We start from the raw sequence: 12,360 nt of genomic DNA on the forward strand, positions 1-12,360 counted from the left end.
AGGGCTACGAAAACACCTGAGGTCCCATTCATTCATTTATTCATTTCTCACAAGGGCAGAAGGCTTTTGCCTGACGTAGGGAAACAGGCCTAAGTATCTACCAGATAATCCATCTTGAAAATGTCATATTTGCTCTGAAGGGACTGGTCCTTCCACAGGCCTTGCAGAGAAGCCTGCTATAGCCCTCACCTTACCAAAGCTTTGGTTCCAACAGAGAAAACCCAAGGGCTCAGCTTGCTAAAGCTCTCCAGAGAGGCACTTTGAATTAAGACCAGAAATGCTTTTAAAAGACTCTGGTCTCTGGTCTTCTAATGATGACCTCTTCCTTAATTTTGTGATGGCTTCATCTGCCTCTTTCGATCATCTAGGTAGCTATAAAAAGCTGAACACCTCCTACTAACCCCATTAGGATGAAAGCGGAGGATTTTATTATTCATTTTTCATAGGAAGAAGCTCAAACTCCCCCAGGAAGTGTAAAAGGTAGGTTTTGATGTATCTGGTTATGGAGAGGTTGCAACAAAGCAGACCCTCCGAGAATGGGAATGTCTTGTGGAAGGACAGGCAGGAAAGGTTGGGGTAACCACGCTCTGCAGGCAGGGAAGGGAATCATCTCAGGCAGTTCCACTGACTCCAACAAGGCACGCACCACCGCTCTGTGACATGCACTGATTTCAGGACCTGCCTGGGAATCCAGGAATAACCCAAATCCCCTAGAACACTGCCTCTTGATAATTATCTGTTAAACATTTGCAACATACACACAAAGGTAACTAAACAGAATGGTTCCCTCCAGGACCATGCCGTTCATAACAGTAATAAAGCCCCTGCCACAGACAGTGTCATTATCCAAACGCCATTAACATCAATATTCGTATCAAATACCATCTGGCAAAGGAGCCTGCAAACCCAAGCTCTGGGGCTTCCCAGCCTGGTGGGAGGGGGCAGCCCACAGCCTCCTCCTTCTTCACCTAATGGCATGAGGGGGCCAGGCCTGCCTGCGAATTCAGAGCAGCAGGCCCACCCTGAGAGAATGCTAAGGGATAAGGGAAAAAAAGGACAGGGCGGGTGAAAAGCATCTAAGTCTAATTTATTCACTGTCATTGACTTCTCTTCAAGTCCTAATTACAAAGATGCAACCAACTTCTCCTTCACAATGTCATAATAGGAAACTGATTGAGTATTTGTATAAACCTCAGAGGAATCATTGTTTTGAAGAGAAACAGAACTTAACCTCCTGCCAGTACCCAGGGTTGCCTTGCAGACAGCGTCACATGCAGAACCCTATACTTAAGTTGAAAGAGCTTTCTGTGGGGAGTAATTATGTGACCCCAGAACACTAGTTCTTCCTGGAGAGAGAGAGGCTGGGCGCTTGGGGCACAGCTCAGCTCCTCCTCTGGGCTGGATCCTGCTTTCGGGCCACTGCATCAGTGTCAGGCATGTGGCCTGAGAGCCGGAGGTCACCCAGGCATGAGGCCCAGCATTGCTGAGCCTGGGCATGTGCAATAAAAGAAAAAGGCAGGAGCCTCATGGGTCTGGAGCTTGACAAAGTGGTGCTGGGCAAAGGCAGAAAGAAATACAGGAGCAGGTTTCAGGGAGATCCTAACAAACCATGCCAAGCCTCATCCTTCCCTTCTGTCAATTTTAACTATTATGATTATAAGTGTCCACATGTGAATAAGTGAGTACCTGCCACATGGGGTTACTGTGAGAGTCAAATGAATTCATGGTAATAATAATAAAAATAATAATAGCTACCATTTATTGGGTTTGATATGTACCAGGTATGAAGCTGGGTGACTCACATTTTATCTCATTTAATCCTCACCACTGGACAGGCGTGGTGGCTTCTCACCTGTAATCCTAGCACTTTGGGGGGCCTAGGTGGGTGGATCACTTGAGGTCTCGAGTTGGAGATCAGCCTGGCCACCATGGTGAAACCCCGTCTCTATTAAAAATACAAAAATTAGCCAGGCATGGTGGCGGGCACCTGTAATCCCAGCTACTTGGGAGGCTGAGCCAGGAGAATAGCTTGAACCTAGGAGGCGGAGGTCGCAGTGAGCCGAGATTGTGCCATTGCACTCCAGCCTGGGTGACAGTGAGACTCTGCTTAAAAAAAAAAAAAAAAAAAAAAAAATCAGGCCGGGTGCGGTGGCTCACGCCTGTAATCCCAGCACTTTGGGAGGCCGAGGCAGGTGGATCACGAGGTCAGGAGTTCAAGACCAGCCTGGCCAACATGGTGAAACCCCATCTCTACTAAAAAAAAAAAAAAAAAAAAAAAAATTAGCTGGGCATGGTGGCGTGTGCCTGTAATCCCAGCTACTCAGGAGGCTAAGACAGGAGAATTGCTTGAACTGGGACCTGGGAGGCGGAGGTCACAATGAGCCGAGATGGTGCCACTGCACTCCAGCCTGGGCTACAGAGCAAGACTCCATCTCAAAAAAAACAAAAAAAAAAAAAAAAGAAAATTCCTCAGCATAAACATGCGAGGTTAAAAAGCATTTTTCCCCATTGGTAAAGATGATAAGATGAAGCAGAGGGTCAGAGAAACTGGGTAATGCACTCGAGCTAAGGAATTTAGTAAGTGGAAGAGCTGGAGTTTGAGTCCAAATCTACCTTAACTCCAGTGCCCAAGCTCTTAACCATGATTCTGTTCCATGACCAAAGGCATTTTGGAATCTCTGATATACTGAACACGGGATGTTAACTTCTGGCTCTACTGCTCGCTGCAGAGCAGTTGTGTGACCTTGAGTTTGTCACTTTGCCTCTCTGGGTCATCTGCCTGCCTCACAGAGTGGTGGTGACGCTCTCAGAGGTAAAGGCTGAGACTGCTCTTCCTAATGAGTAAATGAAACTGTACAAATGGAAAAGGCAATCAAAATGAGCTTTACTATCAGGAACAGGATGGCACAGCAGTTAACATCTGGGAAGCAGCAGCAGCAACTGCAAAAAGGAATGGCTTTTGAGAAATGCCAGGGAAGCAGGCTGTATTTGAGCCCACGCTCTGGGACAGCTACAAAGCAGAGAGGGTGTTTCCAGCTGCTATGGGCTCTTTAGGGAGCACCCAGGGACTGGAGAGATGCTGCTTGGGCTATGGGCTAAGAATAGGCCTTTGGTCCCATATAATCCTGCTGGTGGACAACCACACTTCTAGAGTCAGGGACCTGGACATTGATAAGGAGATCATTATTACTCTTAACATCAGCTGCAGAATCTTTTGTACTGAGACATAGCTGGCTGCTCACAGCACTTTGAACAGCTCTGACTTGCACTGACTCTGTGGAAGTGAAGATGCTATAAGGCAGGAAACTCTTCTCTACCTCCACTTTAATCCCTTCTGGAAAGATACAGGGCTCCATACATTCAAAAAATACAAGGAAATGAGGATCCACGCACAGCCTGTTGGGTTGTTCCAGGGAGGAATTCCTGCAGTGAGAAGGGGGTCTTCGTATCCTAGAACTTTTTTCAATCATCCAGCACAAAGCCTTCTAATGGGAGATAGAGACAGGCTTGGAGAGGGGACATAGATATTGTCTGGAAGAATCTAAGTCTTTGACTCCAACATGGTTCTGTTCACACTCTGTGTGTCTCCTATGATAAAGCCTAATCATTCATGGTCTCTAGCTCCCTGCATGCCCGTTGGGGCTGATGCGGTAGATACTTGTGGAGGGGCTAGAACCGGGTAGGTTTGGAGGCCAAGACAGAGCTAGGGTTCGTTCACCTGGGAAAGCAAAAGACACCAACTGCCAGAGGGGATCAAAGTCAGAGCACAACTCAAAGAGTCCAGAGCAAGGAGACAAGGTCCAGCGAGGCAGGTCAAGATCTAATGGGAAGCCTGAGTAATTGCGTGAAATGCCAGCCAGCATCTAGAGCTCACCTTTACGGCCAATGAGGACGTGACTCATGGCTTCCTCAGCCCTGTTCCAAAAGCTCTGGGTTGATGAAGGGTTAGAGTGAAGGGGGCAGCTTCTGTCACTGAGTACACAGGTGCCAACACTCTGCCCTCAACCGCCCACGGTGCCCTCTGAAAACCCTGGGCACTGTCTTCTCTGACTCCGACCCACTAATATCACAATTAGCTGGCAGAGGGAACTTTCTTCTTTTCTACTTTTTCCTAAGTCATTCAGGCGGAAGAGTCATTAATACTTCACAAGCAATGAAAAATCAAAAGGGGAAAACTATTTTTTGCTGTATTTTTTAAACATTTGGGTAGGGAAAGTCAGATGTCAAAAAAATCCCCATTTACCTCTTTTAAAATATGAGCAATTGATATTTTCCATGAAGGTTCATGCTCCCTTTCTTCATTCTGTTTGCAGGGTATTGTTAAGCCGTGCTTTGTAATTTGTTGCATGTTTAAATATTCAGTCTGTATTTCATTTGGGCTACACATTTAATTCAGCCAACATGTTCATTTTAAGATCAATACTGTCATAACTATGTTGAAAAATTAAATTATTGTAACTTTATTTACATTTCTTAAAAGTACTGTGAAAATTATTCTTAACCAGGACCTAATCAATGTTAGAGTCTAAAAATATGCCACTCTGCATGAAGCTATAAAAAGATTAATGTACATTTTTTACAAGAAATTAGTAGCTTAATGAAGTGGATAAAAACGCTGTCACAATTTTTATTGGATCTAAATTGCATAGTAGTGGAGGTACAGTAAGTGCCTTCTACATAATGACATAATGAGTCATGACTGGTGCTGGAAGGCTAATTTGCCCTTAACTGACACAAAACCAGGGAATTAACATCCCAGTCGCTCTACGCCAATAGCAGATGCATTATTTCATTGCACAGCAGGGTTTTTAACTAAACTCTTAACTGTAGAAATATTGATCTATTCTTCTGTGAAATGATGAAATTGGAATTTTTTAAAAGGACTTCTTAAATTATGGCTGCTGCAGTGACATTTGCTTTCACAGAACCATGCCTGCCTCCAGAGCAGATGCAACAGGAGAAGTGAGGTTAGGCTCATACCTGTGTTTTAGGGTCTGCAGTCAGAGGAGAAAGAAAGAGGGGACTTTATATGAGAGTAAATGCTCGCATTAAGCCACTGTGAGGAAGTGACAGACCATCTACAGGTGCCCAATTTCTGCAGTGACAGTGGTTGAACATTGTCCCAGCCCATAAACTGGTTTACTTTGAAGATTATTTCATACTTGGAAGTTGTTTTGAATAGAGCATCACCAAAACAGTGATATTCAATCTAAGTCTCAAATAAAATTTTAGTGGTGAAAGGTAGAATGGAAAGTAGTTGAAGTAGCTAGAGACCCCTATAAGAGGCAAGTATAAAGTGAGAGATGCTGTCCTGTCCCAATTTCCATTTTGTCATTCATTCATTCATTCATTCATTCCTCTATTTATTGGGTACCTACAGAGTGCCAGGGATGGTTAAATACTATAACCTATGGTGACTAATTATTGCTTCTGTCAGATAGTGTAATGCAACATATTTCTCTGTTTAACCAATGAATCAAAATTCATTTGGCTTTGAAATTTTAACAATAACTAAATTTAAATTTGTACTAACCACAGATACTTTGAGCTGTCACAACCCAGGAATTTAGAAGAAAGAAGAACAATGTACTGACAAACAGCTATACATCTGCCACCTCTTCACCTCTTGTGTGTCTCTCTTTGACACTTTGGGTTAGCACACACACACACAAAAAGCAGCAGCAAAAATAATTCTTCGTGCTTGAGGAGCTGAGAAACCAAACCTATTTAAGTCAATTGAACAAGCCTGCAATATGTCACATGACCTAGGCGTAGGCACACAGAGTAGCTAGAGGTAGTTTGATCCAGCCTAGAAGCTGGTGGTTCTCAACACTAACTGACATTAAGCCACATGGGAACAGCCTTATTTACTTATAATCATGCACCACATAATGACAATTTGCTCAACCATGGACCACACATACTACAGTGGTACCATATGATTTTATTTTTACTGTACCTTTTCTATGTTTAGATACGCAAATACTTAACCATTGTGTTGTAATTGCCTACAGTATTCAGTAAGTAACATGCTGTACAGGTTTGTAGCCTAGGAGCAATAGGCTACCCCCTATAGCCTAGGTATGTAGGAAGCTGTACCATTTCGGTTTGTGCAAGCACATCCTGTGATGTTCACACAGTGCTGAAATTGCCTAACATCACATTTCTCCGAATGTATCCCTGTCACTAAGCGGCACATGGCTATAGTTTGGGATGGGCCTGGTATCACTATTTTTTTTTATACTCACCCCAAGTGGTTCTAGTGTGCAACTATGGTTAAGAACCACTATAGACACGTAATAAAACAACAACAGAAACTGCACAGACCACGCTCAGAGGACTGGAAGAGCTGATCAGGCTCTGACGGAGAGCTGCAGCCAGGCCAGGTGAGAGTGCACAAGATGGCACTTGGATACTTTGCAGACTGCAGTCAATAAACTCGGGTCCCTGCTCTCAGTCTAAGACCATTTTCTACGACATATTAAAACCAATAAACACCTCCTCCTCCTATCCCCTTCAATTTTTAAAGGATTTTTAAAAATGCATATATGTATATTGTTAATTATAAAAAGGATACATATTCATTCACTGTAGAAAAATTGGAAAACACTGTTAATATGGTTTTAAAAAAGTAATGAGATGTTTCGAATCTATATTATTTTAAAGTACAAGAATCAATCTATTTAAGAACATCCTAAAATTGATGGCTAAAACATGTATGAAAGATCCCGTTCTTGTATTCTTATCAACATTGAATATCATCCTTTGAAAAAAATACCCATTTGATAAAGAGAAAGGGAAGCTTATTATTTTAGTGTTCATTTCTTCTATTATTAGTGAGGTTTTATGGGTTTTCATGGTTTTGGCCTCTTCTACTTCGTGTCACACACTAATATCTTTCCCTCATTTTGTTTTAGAATGTATTTTTTACTGATTTGTAAAATTGTATAAAAAATATTAACTTTCAGGCTGGGCGCAGTGGCTCATGCCTGTAATCCCAGCACTTTGGGAGGCCAAGGTGGGTGGATCATGAGGTCAGGAGTTTGAGACCAGCCTGGCCAGCATGGTGAAACCCCGTCTCTACTAAAAATACAAAAAATTAGCCAGGCATGGTGGCGGGTGCCTGTAATCCCAGCTACTTGGGAGGCTGAGGCAAAAAAATCACTTGAACCCGGGAGGTGGAGGTTGCAGTGAGCTGAGATCGTGCCATTGCACTCTAGCCTGGGCAATGAGAGTGAAACTCCATCTCAAAAAAAAAAAATTAACTTTCTCTATTATACATAATAAGCATATTTCCTAGTTTCTCTTGTTTAATTTAATAGTACGTTTTGACATAAACAATCTGTTCATTCTAGGTGTGTAAAGTCACACACACACCAGAATTTGTTGTTAAATCACCTCTAATGTTTATCCTCCTTATTCTCTTGATGTGTTGATATGTGTAGGGCTTGGAGTCAGAAGGTCAGCACTCATTGGCTTACCAGCTGCGTGATTTAGGGCAAGCCACTTCACTTCTCTGAGACTCCGTTCTCCCCCATCTGCATCCTAACTTTTGTCAGGTTGAAATTCAGTCAGCACTATAATGGCAAGGACTTTGCTCTCTTGTTCACTGATAGATCCTGGGAACCTAGAACACAGCCTTGCATCCAGCAAGCACTCACTAAGGATTTGTTGAATGAATGAATAAGCATCTGGCTTGGACCCCAGCCTCACTGTCACCCACAGCAAGCCCAGCAACCACTGCCCCTGAGCAGCCTTAAACGGATCACAAGTTGTGTCTCCCAGTCATGTTGTTTACATTTTTCCCATTCTTACCCAGCACAGTGAAGCCTGTACTGAGTGTATACTATGAAGCCAGCCCTGTGCCAGGCACCCCTACTGCATAAAAAAGAGGACTGGCAAATACACAGACTCTGCCCTTCAGCCTAGTGATTGCCCTTGCAGAATTTCATTAAATATACAGGATAATTGAAAAAGAAATTAGATGGGCCAAAATGTGGGCCAGGAATCTTCAAAATGTTGGGGCTCAGAACACAGTACCCTAAAGTGTGATGCCTGGACGTGCTGAATACTTTGAACTGAAGGAAAGGGGCTCAGAAGTCTCTTTCTGATCTTCTCCTGCTCTTCTTTCTCCTGCTCCCATTTTTACCTAAAGGCAGGCCATAAAACTGAAATTCTGGCTGGGCATGGTAGCTCACATCCATAATCCTAGCATTTTGATCCCAGGAGTTTGAGACCAGCCTGGGCAACATGGGAAAACCCTGTCTCTACTAAAAATACAAAAGAAAATTAGCTGGGCGTAGTGGCACTACCTATAGTTCCAGCTACTCAGGAGGCTGAGGTGGGAGGCTCCCTTGAGCACGGGAGGCAGAGGTTGCAATGAGCTGAGATCGCGCCACTGCACACCAGCCTGGGTGACAGAGCGAGTCTCTGTCTTAAAAAAAAAAAAAAAAAGCCAAGAAACAAAAAACTAGAATCCCTCTTCCCCAAGGTAGGTCATAGCAACTAGAACCCCTCTCTCCCAAAGCCAGCCATAAAATCTATAATGTTACTCTAACATTTTCCCACCTTTCTGTGTAAGAGCTAACCATAAGGAAATTCTCTGACCTACCTTGTCTGATAGTAGGTCTTAAGACCCTCATTCCAGGAGGTGTCCTGCCCTATACCCTGGAGGAAGGAATGTTGCATAGAAAGGCCAAGAAGAATCTGGACAGACCTTGCAGGGTGTCCCCCTTCAGTCTGTTACCACGAGGTCTTACCCTCTGTGTCCAATCCCATTTCTACACGGCTGTCCGTTCTTCATCTAATTGAAGCATAAAAATGGACAGTTTTCCCTGTGTCTCTGGTTTTCGTTTCTAAAGGCTCCCGTGTCATGTAAAACATTATTTCATTTTCTTTCCTTTTTTCTTTTTTTGAGATGAAGTTTCGTTCTTGTTGCCCAGGCTTGAGTGCAATGGTGCAATCTTGGCTCACTGCAACCTCTGCCTCCTGGCTTCAAGCGATTCTCCTGCCTCAGCCTCCCGAGTTGCTGGGATTACAGGCGCCCGCCATCATGCCCGGCTAATTTTTTTGTATTTTTAGTAGAAATGGGGTTTCACCACGTTGGCAGGCTGGTCTTGAACTCCTGACCTCAGGTGATCTACCCCCTTCAGCCTCCCAAAGTGTTGGGATTACAGGCGTGAGCCACCACGCCCGGCCCATGTCATGTAAAACTTTAAATAAATCTATTATGCTTTTCTCCTGTTAACCTGTCTTTTTTTTCTTTCTTTTCTTGCCTTGTCTTATGGTGCTGATCCTGTTAACCTGTCTTTGTCTGTTTTACTAGACCTGGCCAGGAACCCTCAGTGGGTTGAGGAAACTCTTCCTCCCCTCCACTGAGGAATGCCATCAAGAAGGGAGATGCCGAATCGAGGAAGCCTCGTTACAGAAGGGACCCGTCAGGGGACACGAAGGGCAGTGACCCTCGGACACACAGAGAAGAGGAAGCTGGCAGGCCAGAAGGGGGGAACTAATGAGCTAGGCTTATTTTTCCTCCCAAAATGATTGGCTTCATGTTCTACTTGACCACAAGACAATTACGTTTTATATTCATGATTTCCCTCACCCAGACTATTTTACTTGCTCATTGACACTTGTACCATATGCCAATGTATCAGTTTCAAGAAAAGCTCTCCTTTTATAGTTTTTACATATATAAGGGGCAGAATTGGAAATCCTAGGGAAAAAAATGTGAAATCCAGAACATGCAGCCAAGTCCAATTTTGCATTTCTGTTCTAAATAAGCCTCCTAAGTGGCTTATGCTCAGATTCACAACTGGTTCCTCACCTTTTTGGAGACTGAAAAGGCCAGGTTCTCTCTGTCCAGTTGGTACATATAATTTTGCACACAAATTCAGGGGCTCCTAAAGCCTCTGTAACCCATCCACGGACTCCTAAGATAGTTCGGTGATCTCCTCGCATGAGAAGTTCACTCTGATGAGTATCCAATAAACCCGACTTCAAATTCTAGTAATCACTATAATCTCTTTTGCCTAAGAAACATTATTTCTTTCTGGCATTTTGTAACTGGTCACAAAAACTGGATCTTTCTGGTTCATTCACCCACTATCTGCCTGAGCTCATAGCCAAGAATCATGACCCATACAGTATGTTAGTGTGTAAGTTAGGGTAACACTAGCTGTTATAATAGATAAAGCCCATAATCTCAAAAGCTTAACAGCAGAGACATCTATGTACTGCTCATCAGTCCAATGCAAGTGTTTCTGGTCAGCAGATGAGCCTTCCACTGTGTGATCCAGGAATCCAGATTCCTTCCGTGTCAAGGCTCTGCATTTTCAACAGTGTTTCTGTGCTCATCTGCAGTGATCTAGTAGAAGGGAAAAGAACATGGAGGATCATGCCTGAGATGATTACATGGGCTACGCCTAGAAATGGAATATGTCACCTCCACTCACATTCCATTGGTAGAACTCACATAGCCATCCCTAATTGCAAGAGTGGCTGGAAATATTATCTCTATGCAAAAGGAGAAGAAAGCTTATTCTGCCTCTGCCACAACGGGTGTGTACAGCTGCTCTCAGAAAGTCCCGGGATAAGCTGCTCGGAGTCCCAATGTAGCATTTTCCCTCGTTCCTTCTTCCTTCCTTCCTGGCAGCCTCTAAGAAGCTCTGTTACTATCAGGAAGGCAGATCTTTGCTCTGGCATCAGACAGATGGGACTTCAATTCCAAGCTATGCCAATAAAACTAGCAATATGTTCCTGCAGGTTCTCTGTGCCTCAGTTTTCTCATCTGTAAAATGGACCACAACAATAGCTCCAACCTCATTACACTGGATGGATTAGAGGAGAAGGCACAAGTAAGGCTCTTAGCACAACGGCTGGCAAGCTGTAAGCTCTCAAATATTAAGATACGCATGCTACTGCTAATCATAATTTTAATTAAACTAGTACAATTATTAGTATAGGCTAGCCCAAATTTTTTAAAAGAAGAAAAGGATCTAAGAGATAAGCATTGAGGCTCCTGTGAGAATTGAGATAAACTGTGGTAAGGGATAACATGAAAATAATACCAGCTAAACAGCACTTTTTTGACCATTATTTTGGATCTGAAAGAAATCAAGAATAAATGAAGGACTTGATACATTGGAAGAGGAGAGTCAAGGACCTACAGAGGCAGGTCGAGATCTCCACTGTGTGGCCCAGATCTCCATTTGGAAGGCCTCTCAAGGTCACTAACATTCCTAGGCAAAATCTAGGAGAATCTGTCTCCTTTTCCAGATTCCAGGCACAGAAACCTGAAGGATAAGAACAAATTAGAGACCTTAATTTCATTTCAACAAATAAGAGACATTTCAGTGGTGAGCATTCCTCCCTTTCTACCTGGTTTCCTTCTCACTGCATGAATCATTCTAACTTCTGTTCCAGCTGTCTTCCTTCCATTGACTGACCAAGGCCCTCCCTAAGGCCCAGTTCTGCCTCCCACCCCACCCTGCTCCCACTCAGTATGCCAATTCGATCTCTAGCTCAGCCCTCTTCCCCTTCATCCAGCCTCAACACTCTAGTAGTCCAGAGAACATCTCCATGGAGATCCTGTGGCCCCTGACCCTAATGAGTTTCTTTTTGCCAGACAGCCTGCCTGCCTTTCTCAATTGTCCCGTTCCCATCAATAGACTGCCACAGGGGTCATGTGAGGAACTAGTCCAAGGAGCCTCCGTGCTAGACATCTAGCCAGGAAGAACTACAGTGCAGTAGAAGAAAAGAATCCTCCAAGCATGGAAATGGCCAATAGCTCCCTTTCCAAAGTCAAGACAGATATTCGAGAAATGTTTGGTAGGGTTATAAGCGTTATTTCTCAGTTCATCTTCCAAAGCTGTAGAGGCAGTACATTTTCTGGGAAAAAGCCTCAGTACAGAACATGCCAGCACTGCTTTTCAGAGAAAGATAGGCCCTGTCTGGAGCCTCATTACCTGGAACACAAAGTTTGCATGCCAATTTGCATGGAGATAAGAGAGAGGCCATGGAAAGAAAGGAAGGAATATTCACAATTTGCTAAAATGTGTGTGCCAGCACCTCTTTTTTAAAGAAAAGCAAAAAGAATATTGTAGAAAATTAATATTCCATTTCTCTAAGTCAAGTTCCTGTCTGTTCGGCAGGTTACTTTGTAATAAACCAAATTAATTGTCTCCCACATGCCTTCTAATATTTTATCAGTCCAGGCTGGGTGTGGTGGCTCACGCCTGTAATCCCAGCACTCTGGGAGGCCGAGGCGAGCAGATCACTTGAAGTTAAGAGTTCGAGACCAGCCTGGCCAACATGGTGAAACCCCATCTCTACTAAAAGCACAAAACATTAGCCAGGCCT

Source organism: Homo sapiens, chromosome 1 (genome assembly GCF_000001405.40).
Source record: "Homo sapiens chromosome 1, GRCh38.p14 Primary Assembly".
NCBI classification, from domain to species: domain Eukaryota; kingdom Metazoa; phylum Chordata; class Mammalia; order Primates; family Hominidae; genus Homo; species Homo sapiens.